At 49.2% G+C, this 18,726-nt stretch overlaps 1 protein-coding gene across 12 annotated transcripts in view, besides 6 other annotated features; it reads left to right on the top strand.

Annotated features, from left to right (window-relative positions):
* The window catches only part of NFATC2 (nuclear factor of activated T cells 2), a 175,877-nt gene that overhangs the window by 18,084 nt on the left and 139,067 nt on the right, over positions 1–18,726 (top strand). For 6 of the 12 annotated variants that reach the window (NM_001258297.2, NM_001258296.2, XM_017027851.2 and 3 more), the window contains exon 1: positions 2,037–2,386. The exons of the other annotated variants lie outside the window; for them this stretch is intronic. Coding sequence is in view for 4 of the 6 variants with exons in the window: in XM_017027851.2 (XP_016883340.1) it covers positions 2,257–2,386 (130 nt within the window). In the remaining 2 variants the exon portion in view is untranslated. Of the gene's footprint in view, positions 1–2,036; positions 2,387–18,726 lie in introns of those variants that run through there. 12 annotated transcript variants of the gene reach the window in all.
* Positions 2,023–2,182: a silencer, noted in NCBI's record as "silent region_13042". NCBI's record gives its function as "represses an Ori minimal core promoter by ATAC-STARR-seq in GM12878 lymphoblastoid cells {active_cell/tissue: GM12878}" and the evidence as "EXISTENCE:reporter gene assay evidence [ECO:0000049][PMID:35858748]".
* Positions 2,193–2,302: a silencer, noted in NCBI's record as "silent region_13041". NCBI's record gives its function as "represses an Ori minimal core promoter by ATAC-STARR-seq in GM12878 lymphoblastoid cells {active_cell/tissue: GM12878}" and the evidence as "EXISTENCE:reporter gene assay evidence [ECO:0000049][PMID:35858748]".
* Positions 3,067–3,736: an enhancer, noted in NCBI's record as "H3K4me1 hESC enhancer chr20:50157559-50158228 (GRCh37/hg19 assembly coordinates)". NCBI's record gives its function as "activates a minimal SCP1, AML or CMV promoter by ChIP-STARR-seq in primed H9 embryonic stem cells {active_cell/tissue: H9 hESC(primed)}" and the evidence as "EXISTENCE:reporter gene assay evidence [ECO:0000049][PMID:30033119]".
* Positions 10,655–11,854: an enhancer, noted in NCBI's record as "P300/CBP strongly-dependent group 1 enhancer chr20:50149441-50150640 (GRCh37/hg19 assembly coordinates)". NCBI's record gives its function as "activates an origin of replication core promoter dependent on BRD2, BRD4, P300/CBP, MED14 and CDK7 cofactors, with strong dependence on P300/CBP, by STARR-seq in HCT116 cells {active_cell/tissue: HCT116}" and the evidence as "EXISTENCE:reporter gene assay evidence [ECO:0000049][PMID:35650434]".
* Positions 13,286–13,455: an enhancer, noted in NCBI's record as "active region_18114". NCBI's record gives its function as "activates an Ori minimal core promoter by ATAC-STARR-seq in GM12878 lymphoblastoid cells {active_cell/tissue: GM12878}" and the evidence as "EXISTENCE:reporter gene assay evidence [ECO:0000049][PMID:35858748]".
* Positions 13,496–13,545: an enhancer, noted in NCBI's record as "active region_18113". NCBI's record gives its function as "activates an Ori minimal core promoter by ATAC-STARR-seq in GM12878 lymphoblastoid cells {active_cell/tissue: GM12878}" and the evidence as "EXISTENCE:reporter gene assay evidence [ECO:0000049][PMID:35858748]".

Here is an 18,726-nt window from a genome sequence, read left to right as displayed (position 1 = left end):
ATTCTGATCAAATCGATGTCTGGTGGTGCTCAGGTCGTTGAATACAAATTTTAACAGCTCTCCAGGTGATTCTAATGTGTAGTCTGGGTTAAGAACCACTGGTCTGAGTGCAATTTTGAAAACCCCGTTCATAACTGTGCTACTTTGCTTTCAGGGCATAAGCATGATGAAGGGAGAGGCTGTGGCTTGTTGATGGTTGCATCCCCAACATCTTGTGGCAGTGCCAGGCAGGTGCTCAATAAATATTTGTGGAATGATGGATGGCTTGGCACAAATCCCCTTAATGGAGCTGAGATGGCTCCCCTGAAGAATGCGTGTCCTCAATTCCTCCTGGCACATGGGGAAGGATTCGAATCACTTGAGGTCAAGCTGTGGTTCTCACGAGGATCTTAAGACCTCTCCCGTCTAATCTTCTCATCCTCAACACTGGCTGCACCTTAGATTCATCTGAAGTTTAAAAAAATTTTCAGGCCGGGCGTGGTGGCTCACACCTGTAATCCCAGCACTTGGGGAGGCCGAGGCGGGTGGATCACGAGGTCAGGAGATCAAGACCTTCCTGGCTAACACAGTGAAACCCCATCTCTACTAAAAATACAAAAAAGTAGCCAGGCATGGTGGCTGGCGCCTGTAGTCCCAGCTACTCGGGAGGCTGAGGCAGGAGAATGGCGTGAACCCAGAAGGCAGAGCTTGCAATGAGCCAAGATCGCGCCACTGCACTCCAGCCTGGGCGACAGAGCGAGACTCCGTCTCCAAAAAAAAAAAAAAAAAAAAAAAAAAAAATTAGGAATTCTGCTTCAGTGGGTTTGGATTGCAGCCCAGCACGGGAGTTTAAAAAGGTGTCCCAGGTGATTCTAATATGTGGGAAGGGTTGAAGACCACTGTTTTGATCTTTTCTACCTCTGTGAGTCTGTTTCCAACTTCAGCTAAGTTGGTGGAGCCCCCTGGCAGAGTTTTATTGGAGGGTGTTCTTTAGTTACTGGGTCCTTATGCAGTGTTTGCCAAATGTACCTGTTCATTAATGCTCACGTTGGGTGCTTAATTAAAAATACACATTCACGAGTCTGTATTCAGACTTATGGAATCAGAAGCTCCAGGGAGGGGCCTGGGAATCATGCTTTAAACAAGCAGCCAGGCGTGTTTGTCACTTGCCAACCGCCCCATCAGAACTGTACTCCTCGTTCTCCCTCCAGCACACCCAGCCCCTTCGAGCTCTGGCTCTGTGTTTTGGTTCTCACTGCCAGAACACACTTCCCCAAGATCGCCTCATCAATCAGGTTTCTTCAAATGTCACCTCCTCAGAGAGGTCCTCCTTGACCACCCAAGGGACTAAAGCCACCCCAACCTTTATCCCATACCCTGGTGAGTTCTCTCCTGGCCCCATAAGCAGATGCTTTTTGTCCTGTTTCTCTCCTTCAGGCCTCTCCCACTACCAGAGCCTGAGCTTCCGAGGGCAACAGTGTCTGGCTCCGGCTGGGTGCCCAGCACCTGGCACGTGGTAGGTGGCCAGGAGGCATAGCTGTAACGGGGGGGACTAGTGCTGTCAGTCCGATTCCTTCCTAGGCGCTGGGGAGTTGAGTTCAGGGCCATGCAGGTGTCTGAAGTACTGTGAAAATCATGCCGCCCCCGTGGGCACACGGAGACGCCTGGAGACACGGGTCTGCAATAGAAGGGGGTGGATACCCCCTTCCACCCCATGGAGAAGAAAAGCAGGAAAAAGTGTGGGGCCAGTGGGTCCCTTAGGGCAAAAGTCCTAGTGGCGGCAGCTTTCTTGTCTAGACCCTGGTTCGCGCAGCGCGTGTCGCACTCACCCGTGGAGGGTGGGAGACAGCGGCCGCCCCAGCGCCCAGCGGTGGCCCGGGACAGTGTGGTCAGGTCCGCGGACAGCCTCCTTCCTCCCGGCACCGGCCAGCCCAGGCCGCGCGCCCCTCCCCTCCGGTCCCCTGGTGGCGGCCCCGCCCCCGCCGGCCTGGCCGCCCTGTCCCCGCCTCCACGCCCCCCCCCCCCCCGCCTCCCCGGGCTGCAACAGGTGCCTCCGGAGCAGGAAGCTCGCGCCGCCGTCGCCGCCGCCGCTCAGCTTCCCCGGGCGCGTCCAGGACCCGCTGCGCCAGGCGCGCCGTCCCCGGACCCGGCGTGCGTCCCTACGAGGAAAGGGACCCCGCCGCTCGAGCCGCCTCCGCCAGCCCCACTGCGAGGGGTCCCAGAGCCAGCCGCGCCCGCCCTCGCCCCCGGCCCCGCAGCCTTCCCGCCCTGCGCGCCATGAACGCCCCCGAGCGGCAGCCCCAACCCGACGGCGGGGACGCCCCAGGCCACGAGCCTGGGGGCAGCCCCCAAGACGAGCTTGACTTCTCCATCCTCTTCGACTATGAGTATTTGAATCCGAACGAAGGTCGGTGGAGGCTACCCCTGGCCTGGCCCCTGAGCCCGCCAGGGGCTCAGGCCTGGGGACTGGGCACAGGAGTCCTCTTGGCTCCAGCCGTCCCCCTTCCTAAGGGGCCTGGAGGGAGGGTGCCCCTACCCAGGTGCCAGGGAGGGGAGGCGTCAGTGGCCCCTGCCACCCTTAGGGGGCGGTCGGCTCCCTCTTGCCCCTTAGGGGCACCAGTTTCTGGTTGCTCATGACTGCTCCCTGAGGGTCACTCTCAGCAAAACAAAAGGTGGCAGGCAGGTCCCAAGGCTGGGGGGCGGGTGCTGTCTGCTGGCCTCTTGCCTGGGACTGGGCTGTCAAAGGGCAAGGGACATGATTTCTGTGCCTTTGGAGGGAGGAGGTGAGGAAGCGAAGAATGGAGTTAGCAGGGAGGAGTTGCCAAAAAAAGAAGGAAGGGGGGTGCAGCTGAACCCAGTTATCAAGGGTAGGAGGCCGCTCCTTCCCTCCAGGCACTGAAGTGAGGCCACGCAGCTCCCATCACCTCCTGTGAGCAGTGGTTGACGGGGACTTTGTGTTGAAACTGAGGAAGAGGTTGTCTGTCTGATGCTGGAGAGGGTTAAAACCTTTGGTATTATAAGGCCGGCCCATTTCCTCCCTGGGTTCTGCTGCTGAACCCATCACTTACCACTCACAAGAGGATTGGTCTGAGCTATATTAAGTGATCTTCTACGCTTAGTCCTAATGGATGTGGTGGGATGGGGTAGGGTGAGGGGCAGCTGCAGCATGGATTCAGAAGGACACAGGCTCTTTCTGCCTGAACTTTGTCACTCTGTGCCTCCAACTGCCCTCAGTTGCTGGGGGCTGGGGACTTCCCCGGGCTGGGCCCAATGCTTATCTGTCACTTCACGTGTTTAACAGGAGCATTCGTTAGAGGGAGGAGGAGGAGGAGGGGGAAGCGGCCACACGCCCAACCTCACTGTGTATTTCTGGTTAGCAGGTTGTCTTGGAAAAAACAAAAAACCCAACCAGGCTTCCTGATTTTGACAGCCCAGCCCAGCCCAGCCAATGCTTGTTGAAGGCTCAGTGGCAGGCCTGTTAGTAGCTTCCAGACGCACTCTGGGCTTGCCTCCATCTAGTGTGTAGGAAGGGCTTGTGCTGACTGGCTCGTGGAGGAAGCCTGTCAAGGAGGCTTGGTGGCCTGATGTTTCCCACAAACACTGTGTTAGGCAGATAATGAAGTTTTCGCTTCCATCGGTGTCCTCTCTGGCCACGTTAGGTGAGGGGTTTGCTTTAGCTTTGGGTATCCTCTTCCCTTGGATACCCAGAGATGGTCATTAGTAATAATTTTGTGTCTTGGCTGGAGATGGAAACAATTAGCCAACAGAAGAGACCAGTCTTCTAGAGTTGCAATCTGGAGGACATCTTTTGCTTTGAAAAGATACAATTAAGAATCTGCAAACGATCCGCACTAATATCCGTGGTCTTTCTGTTCATTAAGATTAAAGTCATGTTTTTCAGGGAACGAATACTCACACCCCTCCCAGATTGGTAATCAGCTTTTATTTTCCTTGTCGGGTGGGGTGGGGGGATTTCCGGGGAAATAGTTTCCAAGCCAAATCTGAAGGGAGGTACTTTTTATGGTTTTTCTTGGCAAGTGCTGCTTGGTGGCCACCAGATGGGTATCTAAATGACCACAATGAAAGCCCTGGAATCTGTTTTCTCAAAAAAAAAAAAACAAAAAAAAAACTTCAGTTTTTGGAACAGTTTCAGATTTACAGAAAAGTTGCAAAGATAGCACAGAGAGTTCCCATATACCCAATACCCTGTTTCCCCGTGTTATTAATGTTTTACATTAGTATGGTGCATTTATTGTAACCAACAAACCAATATTGACACATTATTAACTGAGGTTTATGCCTTATTCAGATTGGGAATGTTTTATGTGACCTTCACTGTTTTGAGGAGTGTTGGTTGTATTGTAGACTGTCCCTTCATTAGACTAGGGCTCTAGGTTTTCGGGAGGAAGCCCACAAAGATAAAGCTCCCTTCTCATCACATCGTATCAAGAGTATGTACTATCCAGCCAGGCGTGGTGGCTCACGCCTGTAATCCCAACACTTTGGGAGGCTGAGGCGGGCGGATCACCTGAGGTCAGGAGGTCAAGACCAGCCTGGCCAACATGGTGAAACCCCAACTCTACTAAAAATACACAAATTAGCCAGGCATGGTGGAAGGCACTGTAATTCCAGAAACTCAGGAGGATGACGCAGGAGAATTGCTTGAACCCAGTAGGCAGAAGTTGCAGTGAGGCAGGTGGCACCATTGCACTCCAGCCTGGGTGACAAGAGTGAGACTCTGTCTCAAAAAACAACAACAAAAAGTATACTATCCATGTCATTTATCATTAATGCTAACCTTGATTACCCAGTAGAGGTAGCTTTTCTCAGTTTCTTCAAACTCTTTGGAAGGCATTACTACATGAAGCCCACACTTAAGGAGTACAGAGTAATACTCCAGAATCTGGAAAGCACTTACTCTTTGCTGAGAAGTAGGCAGCACAGAAGAGTTAGCACCCAGAAAGAGAAGGGATGCTGTGGCCGGGAGTGGTGGCTCATGCCTGCAATCCCAACAATTTGGGAAGTCGAGGTGGGAAGATTGCTTGAGTCCAGGGCTTCAAGACCAGCTGGGGCAACATAGCAAGACCTCATCTCTAATAAAAATAAAAAAATAAAACAATTAGCCTAGCCTAGTTGCGCATGCCTGTAGACCCAGCTTCCCAGCTACTCGGAGGCTTAGGTAGGAGAATCTCTTAACCCCAGGAGTTCGAGGCTGCCCTGAGCCGTGATCGTGCCACTGCACTCCAGCCCATGGGACAGTGCGAAACCCTGTCTCAAACCAACAAACCAGACAAAAAAAGAGAAGGGACATGGTAAGCTTTAAGAGGCTAATGTGAACTGCCCCAGATGTGCATCTGGCTCTGGGTCACCCAGATGTTAATAGCAGTCACCTCTCTTTGCTTCTGTATGGTGGGACTCCTCAGGGGTGAACACTAGCCTTAATCTTTTTATTAGGTTTTGTCCCAGATGGCAACATATTGGTGACGCATGTAAAGTTCTATCCTTAACTCTGGGCACGAGCTTGGCAAAAACCAAGGAAGGAAAGGTACTGCTAATGGGGCAGACATTGTTGATAGAATTGGTGAAGGTAAATTAGGGAATTTTGGGGAGGTCGGATGCTCATTTTATGGAGTTTAGCATGTAGCAGACGTTCATTAGCCCATGTGATTCCACTCCAACCCTAGGAGGCAGGCACTATTATCACCCCTGTTTTATGGAGGAGGACGCTAAGGCACAGAGAGGTAAAGTAATTTTCCCAAAATGGGCAGTGTTGCTCCATACCATGTGTTCTGAACTATTGTGTTAGGGTCCTCATTCTCTCATTTGGTGAGAGACACATGCAAACCAGTTAGCAAGGTGTCTGGGACCATGGCAGGGCTGGAATTGAAAACCTTGTTTACCAACAAGGTGATCTTGAGCAAGTCATCTCATCTCTCTGGACATCTGTCTGCTTATCTGTAAAATGGCTGAAATAATACCACTTGCCTCATAGGACCGTTACCTGCCTTGAATAGGTTAACCCATTTAAATCAACACAGCATGTGATCTGTTACTAGTGGTTTAGTAAACCCTTGCTTTTGTTAATGGAGGTGTTCAATTAATATGAGCCATTGTTTATTTACTCATTCAGCTATTGAGCACCCTCTGTGTTAGATCCTAGGGTCACAACGGGGAATGAGACCCAGATCCTGTCCTCTCTGAGCTACTGCCTCTAATTGTGCCTCTGTTGTTTTCTCTTGTCTAATTGCATTAACTAATACCTCCAGTAGAGTGTTACATGATAGTGAAGACAGTGGGCATCCTTGCCTTGGAGGAGGACTCCAGTGTTGGCTTTAAAATTGAGGTGTATGAATTATGTAAAGGAAGTATTAGTTCTTTCTTTTTTCCCCCGAGAGTTTTTATTACAAATGGGAGTTGAATTATATCAAAGGCTTTTTTAGCATCTATGGAAAAATATGATCTTATTCTTCGTAGACCTATTAATGTGTTGGCATACATTATTAGATTTCTTTATATGAAGACATCCTTGGTATGGACTCCACTTGGTGTATTATTTTCTTAAGGTGGTTGTGGCATCAGATAATATTTAAGCATTTTTCAGTATTCATGAGTGATATTCATATTGGCCTATTTTTTGTGCTATCAGGTTTAGGTTTCTTTCCTTTTCTAAGCTCAGGAATAATTTCTGTCTCCCTGGGACTCCCTGGTCTCTAAAGCTGTGATAGAATTCCTCTGTGAAGCCGCCTGGACCTGGTGCTTCTTTGTGGAGTTGTTTCTTGATGGCTTTCTCTATACTGTGGGAATTGGTCTCTTTACACTTTCTACTTCTACTGGAGTCAATTTTTGTAAACTCTATCTTTCTGGGAAATTATCCATTTTATCTGTCTAGGTTTCAAACGTATTCACTAGAGATGTGCAAAGAAGACTCTTAATTTTCTTTCTAGTGGAGGAGACAACCAAGTACACAGTGACAGAAAGACCCGGTGGGCAAGGATGTGGGAGTCCTGATGGGGCCACTGATCCCACCCTGGAAGGGGAAGATGTGCTGGCTGTCAGCAGACAGTTCAGAAGCTGAATTCCCTTATGCATGCTTGTGAATACAATGGACTCTTATTTCTCCCAACTTGTAATACACTGAGAGAGACGGGTGGGTACTGGGAATCCCTGGTCACCTCCAGAGATGCCGGATCTCCAGTTACTGTGTTGGGGACAGATATGTGGGGAGTGCTCACATCTGCTTTGCCTTAACAGTCTGGTGCAGCCCTCCTTCAATTTCTGCTAAGCTAAAGCATTTAATACCAACTTCGGCCTTTCAGAAAGGAAAACTGGTTCCTTCTGATCACTGCTGGTTGTTTTATAGAGTCTATTCCTGTGATCCTTACACTTTTGAGGTCACAGCCCTTTAAAAAGCTGATGAAATCTGCAGATTCTATAGACACACACACGATGCGTGTGCATGCTCCACATGGGCAGCCCTTTCCCCTGGGCACTGCCCCCTCACCACATACCCCCTGCACCCCCCACCCACACATCCCCACCTCCCCTCTCCACTCCCTCTCATATCCCCCCACGTGCTTTTGATGTCATTTCTCAGCACTCACAGACCCTTCTGTGTCCCATTCCCTAATTTTACTGGCACTTCAGTGTAGGAACACCTGCTCTCGACCCATTCACAGGGCACAATTAAAACCCCATTCTTTCAGCAAACACACTGAATGCTGGTTTTGTGCCAGGCCCTGTAGCAGCATAGGGACAAATTAGATATGGTGTCTGGCCTCCCCTGGCCCCCAGGCCAATATGGGTCACAGTCTGGTAAACAAATAGGGACAAATGAGGTGCTGTGATACAGTATCTGTGTGTGTGTGTGTGTGTGTGTGTTTGGTGCTTGCTAAAAATAGTGTTCTACACTAAGCAAGCAGGTTCACTAAACACATGTGACATTCAGAGACATTGCCTTCTGTGTTGAGTTAAAGACAGGCCTTAATAAGCCTGCTTTGGACAAATAACGTCTCCAGGTGCAGCTGGAAAGGTGAAATGAGGGCTAGAACTGAGCATCGGCCTTGCAGGGAGGCAGAGGAAATGAAGTTGCCTCACTCACTCTTCCCTGTGAAACACGTGGCATCTTGGCTTCTAAATTCAAGCCCCTGTGTTCTTTTGGTGGCATAGATTTTGATCAGGAGTAGAGGCTCCTAAAACTTTAAAGCAGTGTTATTCAGGTTGGTTCTCAAGGCTCTCCAGCCATATCAGGTGGCAGGTTAAATACATTTGAAAAATGTAGAATGGGTGGCAAGGGGCTCTCAGTCCTGGCTGCATTAGAAGTTCTCAGGCTGCATCCTGGACCAGTGAGATCAGGTTCTTGGGGGTAAGGTAACTTTGCTGAGAGTTTGCATTGGTAAGTGGCAGGGCAGGCCTTGAACTTGGGCACTGAGCATTCTAGGTCCCTGCCATCAGCACTATATCTCACAGCCAGGATGTGGCCCTGGAGGGCAGCAGGACACCGTATGGAGCTGCTGTCTCTAGCTTTGTCTGATGTGTCTCATGTACGGTGGGATGTGTGCACGTTCACCTCTTATAGTTGATATTTATATAATTAGAAATTGTATCTTGCTACTGTCCTAATGGGATTATACTCATTGGAAAACTCCTGGCTAAGGTAGAAATGAGAAATGACAGGGAGCTCTGCTATTTTTCTGTTTCTTTCTCCATCCCGGTGGATGGTCCTGCCTGCCTCCTGGGCATTTGGATCTAAAGCCCTGCACTTGAATCTTTAATGCTTTTTCCCTCTGTGGAAGAAATATACCAAAGGCAGACTGTAAGCCACATGCAGAGTGGGGAGATTGCTTTTCCTGGGTTGGTATTTGGGACCCTCCCGACCTTGTAATCTGAGGTTTTGGAAAAAGAGCATTTCTTCAGCTGGGTCTGAAGGGAAGAAAGTGGCCAGCAAAGCTCAGGATTTATGAAGGTCCTTATCAAAACAGACCTGCTTGGGCATGCCTGCAAAAGTGAGAATGTTAAATGAGGGGGAAAAAAAACCCCAAGTCTGAAATGCCTGCTAAAGTTATTTTAAAGGTTATGGAAAGGGGCTGTTTACCTGTATAATCCTAAGAAGGTGCGCTGCAGGTCTAAAATCCACAATGGGTGACATCACCTCTGTTGCCATGGAGTAGGGAGGAATGTCTTAATAACCAGGGGGTTGGCAGGGGCCACTGATGAAGTGTGCCCACCCCCAGGAACATGGCACTGAAATGAAAGCTCCTGGGGAAAAGTATAAATAAAGAAGCTGTCAGTCAAGAAGGCATTAATTTTAAATCTCTGACCCCGGCCAAGGGTTACACAGGCCCCACTGTCTTCAAGGGGGAAGTTTCCACTTGGATTTTAGGTTGGCTGAAAGAAAAATGGAAATCAGCCTTTCAGGCTGTGCGAGGGGATGTGGGGATCAGTAAGAGACCAAACTCGCAGAGGTGGCTGGTCGGAGAGAGGGACTGTTTGCTAAGTTGGGCAGAGGATGGAAAGAAGGGATGTTCCCCTGCTCATGTCATCTTCTGCAGGCCTTTGACAGAGTGGGTGGGTTTAGCCCTGGCGAGTCCTGTTGCAGGAGGATTATCTGAAGTCTATTTCTGGGGAACTCTTCTGACCAAATCTTTCCTTCTCCTTTTGGTGAGGAAGCCACTCTGAGGTCTGTTCTCTGTCATGCATTGAACTCTCTTCTGTTAGACGCAGACCTTGCTAAATCACGAGTTTAATCTCAAATGCTTTAAAAACGGAGGGAGTTCAGCAAGGTGATTGGATAAATTGTGGTGGATTTGACAGTGAAATAGTACACAGCAATAAAAAAGAAAGGACTACTGCACACAATGTGGGTGAAGCTCAGACATTCTGCTGAGCCAAATAAGTGAGACATATACATCCTGTATGATTTTATTTATGGGACATTCGAGAACAGTCAAACCCAGCATATGGTGAGAAAAGTCAGGGAGTGGTTCTTCCTGGGCGAGGGTGTCTGGCTTCAGGGGGGCCACAGAGAACCCTCTGGGGGACTTGAAATGTTCGAGTGTGTGTATATATATGCAAAGGCACAAGATGTATGTGAAATATTTGTGCATTTTACTTCATGTAAGTGATGCATATTTTAAAAATTAATGAAGGCCGGGCTCAGTGGCTCAGGCCTCTAATCCCAGCACTGGGAGGCCGAGGTGGGTGGATCACCTAAGGTCAGGAGTTCGAGACCAGCCTGGGCAACATGGTGAAATCCTGTCTCTACTAAAAATACAAAAATTAGCTGGGCATGGTGGCAGGCACCTGTAATTCCAGCTACTAGGGAGGCTGAGGCAGGAGAATTGCTTGAACCCTGGAGGCAGAGGTTGCAGTGAGCTGAGATTGCGCCACTGCACTGTAGCCTGTGCTACAAGAGTGAGACTCTGTCTCAAAAACAAACAAAACTGATGGAATCTGCAGATCTTGTATAGACACACGTGCATGCTACACATGTACAGCCCTTCCCCCTGTGCACTGCCCCTCCCCCTGGCCCCCGCTGCAGCCCCCACCCTGAAATTGAATGCAAGCTTTGCCCTGACTTTTTGTGGTCTTGGGAATTTCCCTGCACCCCAAGCCTCAATTTCCCCATCTCTAACACAGAGGTGTTCGGAGTAGCTATCTCCAGGGGTTTATGTAAACTGCAGAGAGAACAGGGGAGCGTACACGTGAAAGCTTGCGGCACAGTGGACATAAGCTATTAGAATGACTAAAAATAGGAATATCTCTGGAATTCTCCAAGGCAGGAGGGCCCCAGGAAATGGCTTGAAACCAGCAAGAGACAGTTCTTCCCATCCAGATTTGAAGATGGAGATGAGTCCTTATGTGTGCCACATGCCTGGGCCCTGCTGCCCCCATCTAAAAGGTGACCTTGAGGCCTGCGGGTTGCAGATTCCATACATTTCTCCACCCCTATCCAAAAGCAATACGTGTCAGCGCGTGGGTTCGTGTGTTTTTGCAAGCGGTCATGCCAGAGCCAGTCTGCAAGCCTCATTGCTTGTGGATCACCTCAGTCCTGTGTCCTGGGCGCCTGGCCTTGCGGCAGCCTGCCTGGAAGGCACCACTGAGTCCTTCTTTCAGCCCCGTCTGGGGAAGGCAGACAGCTGTCTTAGCTGGGGCAAGGTCAGCAAAGACATCGCCTTCAGGATGACTTTTTCCAGTGGTTCCATGGACGAGACAGGATGGCAAATGTCCTCCCTTTCCTTTTTGGCATTTCTGGACCTGATTTATCCAGATGGAATTTCTCGACTTTCAGGCCTGTGTCTGTATGTGTCACCTCCGAACGAAGGGTGTGACAACCTGACTCTGGTCATTAATACACATGATTCATTGATTGAGAATCTACTTACTGTTAGGTGGTGTATGTGTGTGACTGGGTGGGGCGTGGGCAGCAGTGGTCTGGGGGCTTGTCAGAAAGTTTGCTGAGTGTCAGATTTGTTATTTGGAGGCAACCCATTGCTTTTCAAAGGGGTTCTTTCTCTAGGTTGTGCACACCTGCCGGATGAAGAATCTGTCCACCTTCCTGCTCTGTTTTGGGATTCTTTGTGGCCCCTGATGGGCAGGAAGTTATGAGAGTTGTCGGGGCGAGTGGCAGGAGGCGAGGTTTGCCTCTCTGTCTGCTCCCCTTTCCTCCGGCTACAGATCTGCGGTGCCAGCTGTGGCATCCTAAGTGCTGCCTTGGCGACAGACTGTCATGTCCCAAACCCAGGCCCTGGGACTCACGCCACCTCGGCATCGGGGTGAGCTCATCAAGCCGTGGGTCGGATCAGCTTGGCCAGGGATCAGTGGAGCCCTGTGGCCCTGCTGCCCATCGGAGGGGCATCCAGCCCCCAGGCCAGGCCCTGCTTCTCTCTTCCCAGCCACTCAAGCCTGAAAGCTCCATTTGCCTCTGCCCCTCCCTGTGCCCCCCAAGGACGGCTGCCTCTCAGAGGTTCCCTAGCTGGGTTTCTATTTTGGTCATACGATTCTGCTTCCCGAAAATTCCACCCGCCTGCAGTTCTAGGCAGAGAAGATGTTCTCTTGCTGTTCCTTTTTTCAAAAGTGATCTGTTGGCTGGCGGGTTGGCGCTGAGCGAGCGGCCACCTCAGACTTGGCTGTGTGTCCGTCTGCGAGGGTGAGCAACAGGCTCACAGAGCTTCCAGGGGGAGAGGCGCTGGCGGGGACCACTGTGTGGCCTGAGTGGATTTTTAAAATAATCTTTGACTCAATCCTGGGGCAAAAGGAGAGACTGTGAACATTCCCGAAGAAAGGAATCTGTGTCTTCAGTTGTCAGGGGCAGCCCACCTCCCGAGTGAAATGATGAGGCCCCCAGAGTGATTTCTTTTCCGGGGGGGATCCTTGCTTCCCTGTGTCAGGGTCAGGGTGTCGCCATCCAGGAAATCACCTCTTTCCTGAGATGCAGGATAAAGTAGTGGTTAGGGGGGTGGAGGAGCCAGGTTGCCTGAGAATGAATCTTGGCTCTGCTACTTAGAAGCTGTGTGACCTTGGGCAAATTACTCACCCTCTCTGAGCCTCATTTTCCCCCTATATAAAATGGGGAAACGATATCAGCTGCTTCATAGGGTTCTTGTGAGACAAATATGAACATACACTAGATGCGTACAGTTCTCGATATAAAGTAAGTGGTATAGATGTGCTAGTATTTTGATTATGACAAGCGGCTCACTGACCCACTAACACTTTAGTAAGATTTAGTCGATCCACTGCCAGGTAGCCTGGGAGGAAAAGTACAAAGTGTGGAATGGAGAGGGTGTTGGAAGCACGTTTTACCTCCTCCACACATTTTCTGAAGGTCAGCAGGATCTGAGGTAAAAAGAGAATTCCTAAAGTGCTGACCAACCCATTTTATTTTTATAAAAATGTCTTCCTTTTTTTCGTAATGCTTTCGAAGGGGTTGGGGACTAGTGCGTTCAAGTTGTTGTAAAATAGACTAACTATAGCAGGGAAAGGGCAGAATTGTCACCGAAAAGATTGTTCTTTCAATAATAATCCAGTAGGCCCCATTTACTGGGTATTGATTCTGTGTGTCTTGGGCTTTGCATAGGTTAGGGAAACCGACAGGCTTGTATCATCACCAGTGTCATCACCCCGTGTCACACATGAGGACATGGAGTTTCCCCAAGTCTCACAGCCGGGGGTGGGAGTGGATCTGGAGTCCCCTAACCCCGTGCTACCCTCTGTTGACTGAGACCTGGATCTCAGCGTAGAGCTCTTGCTTGGTGGGGCAAAGAGGAGGGCTGAACTGGCCTCCCCAGCAATCTTGTCCTGTAGTTTTTGGGAGTGGCCAGAGATTTCTCCACATATTCACAGGGCCTACCTATTGGGTAAGCACCCAGGAACTTGATGAAAGGAGGGGTGATAAGAATGAGAACTTTCAGGTGTCTGCCACAGAGATGAGCGTCACCTGCCAGGGCTGAGAGTGAGAAGATGTCTCATTTCTGAATCAGTTCAGGTTGAGGGCGTGAGTCATGAGTTGATGCTTCCAGCAGTCTTTGGGCCTCTGCTGTGCGCAGGCCTCCTGTGCCATGCTGGGGCTCTAAAGCCAGGAGCCGTGGTTCTCAGCTGGGGGCGAGCCTGCCTGGCAGGAGATGTTTGGCGATGCCTGGAGACATTTTTGGTTGCCACAACGGGGAGAGGGACAGGGCAGCTGCTATTGGCATCCAGTGGGTAGGTGGCTGTGAGGATCAAGTAATTTACTACATGTAATGTGCTTATAACAATGCCTAGCATGTAAGTTCTCAATATATTTTAGCTGCTTTTTCTGCATTATAATCATCTTCATAATAATTATTGATGTAAGACTCCTATCTGCCTCTAAGAACCTCAGAGTCTAGAGGGTAGACAGACGAGTGAATCCATAGATAGACTTCAATGTGGGACTCTGTGGGACCTGGGAGTGTAGAAGAGCTGCCTGATCCAGCCTGGGGAAACAGGGAGGGCCTCCAGGAGGGGGTGGCTCAGGTCAAGTCATGATGGATAAATAGTGGCTTGTTAGGAGATGTAAGGTCGGGAGGTATGGAAGGGAGTTCTGGGTAAGGGGAACAGCATGTGCGTGACATGGAGGTACAGAGGCCCTTGAGCAGCAACCTCTGAATCCCCCATCCCTGCTTCTATCTTCTTCCTCCCTTTGGTACTGATGCTTCGTATGCAGGCCAGGTACCTCCCATGGTAGGTGAAATGGATTTTAGGTGGTCCACCAGTGAGGACGTTGTATGTGCTAAGAACTATTTTTCAGCGCTATTTTCTCTTTGAACTAGTCAGAAGGAGTGGAGTTTCAGGCCAGGCATGGTGGCTAATGCCTGTAATCCCAGCACTTTGGCAGGCCGAGGTGGGCAGATCACTTGAGGTCAGGAGTTCGAGACTAGCCTGACCAACATGGTGAAACCCTGTCTCTACTGAAAACACAAAAAAATTAGCCGGGCATGGTAGTGGTCACCTGTAATCCCAGCTACTCAGGAGGCTGAGGCAGGAGAATCGCTTGAACCCGGGAGGCGGAGGTTGCAGTGAGTCGAGATCGCACCACTGTACTCCAGCCTGGCAACAGAGCAAGACTCTGTCTCAAAAAACAAAAAACAAACAAACAAAAAAGGAGTAGCGCTTCAGTGAGGTACTGCTGTACCATTGACACCTTTCTTTCTAACACTGGCTCCTCCCTTTCCCTGTTCCTAGGTCTTGACTTTCTGGGGTCTTGGAAATGTTCCATATTTTGATTATGTTGGTGGTAGCAAGAATGTATGACATTTGGCAAAACTCGTCAAACTCTATACTCAAAACACTGACATCTGTGTATATGAGTTATACCGCAGAAGCATTGGCGGGGGCGGGGCTGTATAAAGCCTCAGACTCAGAGCCTTTGCCCAGCCACTGTGTCTTGCTTGAATTTAGTAAGTTTTATTTTTATTGTATTTTTACCCTACCTTCTATTTATGGAGGTGACATTGATTTTCCATCTGCAGTAGTGGTGTAAAGTTTCCTTTTAAAATAAAAAAAAAATAAGTGAGTGAATTTAAATACTAGAAGTATTAAGTAAATACTTTTTGGTGGCACATGGATAGAGCAAAGATCGTGCAAGTGGTTAAAAAAAAAGCAAGCTTTTTGGAAATCCTCCTGAGAACATTTGGTGGTTCTGAGATGAAACTAACTTCACCCAGTGCCGTGCGGGCATCGTGATGACTGTAAGAAAGCCGCCTGTGAGCGTGGCAGTTGTTTAAGGAGAAATAGTGACGAATCTCAGCCACTGACTTAGAGAAATATTTTAATGATGTGCTATTTGTGAAATTTACTGTCAAATACCCAGGGGACTGAGAATTAAATGATTATTAATTATCTTCATATTCCCTGCTTGCTGGTAAACATTTAAAGTCTTGTCAAGAGGAAAAAAAAAAAACTGCCGCTTGGATTAATGAAAACCAATGTAAATGCTTTAAATACTTTTGCTCAGCACACTGGAGCTTTCTGTTTTTCAGAGCTCCTAGGGAGTGTGAGTGATGTGTGTTTTCAGGACTGCGTTTCTGTGGACTGTGCACATCAGCCCCAAGGGTGTGTTTCTGATAAGATACAGTGCAGTTCTTCTGATACGGCCGGAATTTTTGCTAAGAAACTTTTTGTGTTTTGTTTTTCTGGTTCGAAGGGCAGTGAATTCTCAGAATGTTGTCGGCCATGGGTTTGACATTCCTCTTTTCCTAGATTAAAACTCTGTGCTCTGTTACCTTCTAGGAAGGCGTGTGTGTGTGTATGTGCGAATTCAAATACACATTTACATTAAACTACAGCCTCACAAGAACTCCAGGCCTTACAGATGCTAGCTAGAAAAATCAAAGGATTTCAGAGCCAGAAGCCACCAAGGAAACTGATTCAGTTTAATGCTGTTCAGTTATAAATGAGAAGGTGTTGAGGCCTCCAGTGGGTGGGGGACTTTTCCAAAGTCACGCTGCTACTTAGTGGCGGAGCAGGACTGCACTCTTCATTTCCTGCTTCGTAAAACAGGGTTTCATTACTGTATATCATGCTATGTCACCTACCACCTATGAAATAAAATTAAAAATGTTTCTTTTGGGAGTTACATTTATTTTCTTACACAATTACACAAATCAAAGGAAGTCTCCTTTCTGCCATGCCACTGTCCTCCCATTCCTTAGTTCCCCTCCCTGGAGGATGTCACTATTACTTGTGACTTCCAGAGAAAGCCTGTGCATCCTTCAGCTGTGCGTGTACATCTGTCTGTGTGTGTACATATGTGTGTGTACATCTGTCTGTGCGTGTACATCTGTACATCTGTGTATATATGTGCAGGTGTAATCTGTATACATCTGTGTGTACATCTGTCTGTGTACATTGTGTGTACATCTCTCTGTGTTTGTGTACATCCTCTCACTTTTTATGCTGTGCACACTATACAGCTTGCTTTTCTCTAATACTAAATCTCAGTGGTCATTCCATGTCAATGCATAAAGAACTTCTTCAGGCCTTTTTGTAGCTATACTGTATCCCATCATATGAATGAGCCAGAATTAATTCATCCCCAATAGATGGGCTTTGGGTTGCTTCCAGTCTTTTGGGATTACAGTCAGGGTTGTAGTAATGAATCTTAAGCATACACAGGTCATTTTGCACAGGTGAGAGTATATCTGCAGGAAGAATTTTTTTTTTTTTTTTTTTTTGGGACAGGTTCTCATCCTGTCACCCAAGCTGGGAGGTGGTGGTACGATCATGGCTCACTACAGCCTTGATCCTCCCACCTCAGCTTCTCCAGTGGCTGGGACTACAGGTAGGTGCCACCATGCCCAGCTAATGAAAAAAAAATTTTTGTTTTAGAGATGGGGTCTCTACGTTGCCCAGGCTGGTCTTAAACTCCTGACCTCAAGCAATCTTCCTACCTCTGTCTCCCAAACGGTTGGGATTCCAGGTGTGAGCCACCATGACTGGCCCAGGATGAATTTCTAAAAGTAGCATTGCTTGGTTCCGAGGGCACATGTGGTTCCGGGGGCACGTGTGTTTGGAATTTTCATGGATATTACAAAATGACCCTCTCTAGAGTTATAGCCTTCTATCTTTTGGTTTGGATATTAGCATCTTTGAGTAATAGTTTATTCCAGGTAGACTTTTCTGAACTTGCCTCATTCATTCAGCCAACACATCCTTTCTGAGGGCCTGTTTAGTGGCAGGACCATTCCAAGTGCTTAGGGGCATGGCGGAGCAAGAGTCCTCATGGCATTTGCTGATTGGTGGGGGTGGATCTCGAGGTCGAGGGAAGGGCAGACTGGAGGTCGAGGGAAACGGAGCACTCCACAGTTCCTCAGTCGTTATGGTGAGATGTGCACAGAACACAGCAGGGGCCTGTGAGTGGGGCCTGAGCTAGTCAAGTGGTCAGGGGTCCTTCTAGAAGCATGCAGTACTTAAGCCCAGCTCATGGGCATGAATGGGCTTTAGTCCTGTGGAGAAGGGGGCCTGGCAGTGGGTAGGGGAGGAGCTGTTGAGGCAGGGGGAGCAGCAAGTACCAAGGTCCCGGGGCAGGAAGGAGCTTGATGCTTTTAAAAACTCCCCTTTGCCAGACACGGTTGTTCTCGTCTGTAATCACAACACTTTGGGAGGCTGAGGTGGGAGGATCACTTGAGCTCAGGAGTTGGAGACTAGCCTGGGCAACATAGTGAGACCTCCTGTCTACTAAAAATAAAAAAAAATTAGCTGAGCCCGGTGGTGTGCACTGGTAGTCCCAGCTACTTGGGAGGCTGAGGTGGGAGGATTGCTTGAGCCTGGGAGGTGGAGGCTGCAGTGAGCTATTATTGCGCCACAGCACTTCAACCTGGGCAGCTGAGTAAGACCTCAAAAACAAAACAAAAATCACCACACTCCCCTTTGGCTGGAGTTCAGAGAGAGGGAGGGGAGAGAGTGAATGCAGGCGAGGGTAGATGCACAGGCAGGGCCCAGCCAGGCTGCCTGGCGGGGGTCATTTATTTTTACCTAAGAGCTGTGGGGAGCCATTTTGGAAGTAGGGGTACCATATGGACCCTAAGAGATCAGCTTGGCTAAACTGGACAGTATTTCCTCTAGGATAGCCCAGAAAGGGAACAAGGAGGCTGAGGCTCACTGGGGTGGCCACCTGGGGTCCCCCAAAGCAGGAAGAGGGCTTGTTTCTGGCTGGCAGGCCCCGGACATGGTTCTTATATTTACTTATTCTCTCAGCCACTCGGCAAATGTTTATGGGGGCTTGCAAGTGCCAGGCCCTGTGGTAGGTGCTTGGCAGACAATGCTGGGCCACAGTGACACGGGCCCAACACTGACGGAGCTCTGGGTCGAGTGTGGGGTTGTAAAATTCTCTAAAGGGCCAAGGAGTAAATATTTCAGGCTTTGGGGGCCATTCGGTTCCCAGACTACCAACTCTGCTGTTGTAGTATAGGAGCAAGCTGTAGCTTGCTTTGTTCACCCTGTGTCAATAAATAGGCTGGCTGTGTTGTCATAAAACTATTTACAAACACAACCCATGGGCCGCATTTGGCCCATGGGCTGTGGTTTGCCTGCACCTGGTTTGGCAGAATGAGATTCCCTAAACAGATACCTGGTGCGACGGGAGCTGTTAGCAGGCGTCAGTGGAGAAAAGATGGCAGGGAAAAGGGAAGGAGGGGATCTTTTTGATGGGTCGATCTCAGGAGGTGCGGGCTGAGCAGATGCAGGAAGGAACCAGGGGAAGTGGGAGGATCTCGCGGGGAGGGTTTCCAG

This window comes from Homo sapiens, chromosome 20 (assembly GCF_000001405.40).
Source record: "Homo sapiens chromosome 20, GRCh38.p14 Primary Assembly".
Lineage (NCBI taxonomy): Eukaryota > Metazoa > Chordata > Mammalia > Primates > Hominidae > Homo > Homo sapiens.
Note: the sequence above shows the minus strand (reverse complement) of the source record. Positions and strands in the feature narration are given on the sequence as shown.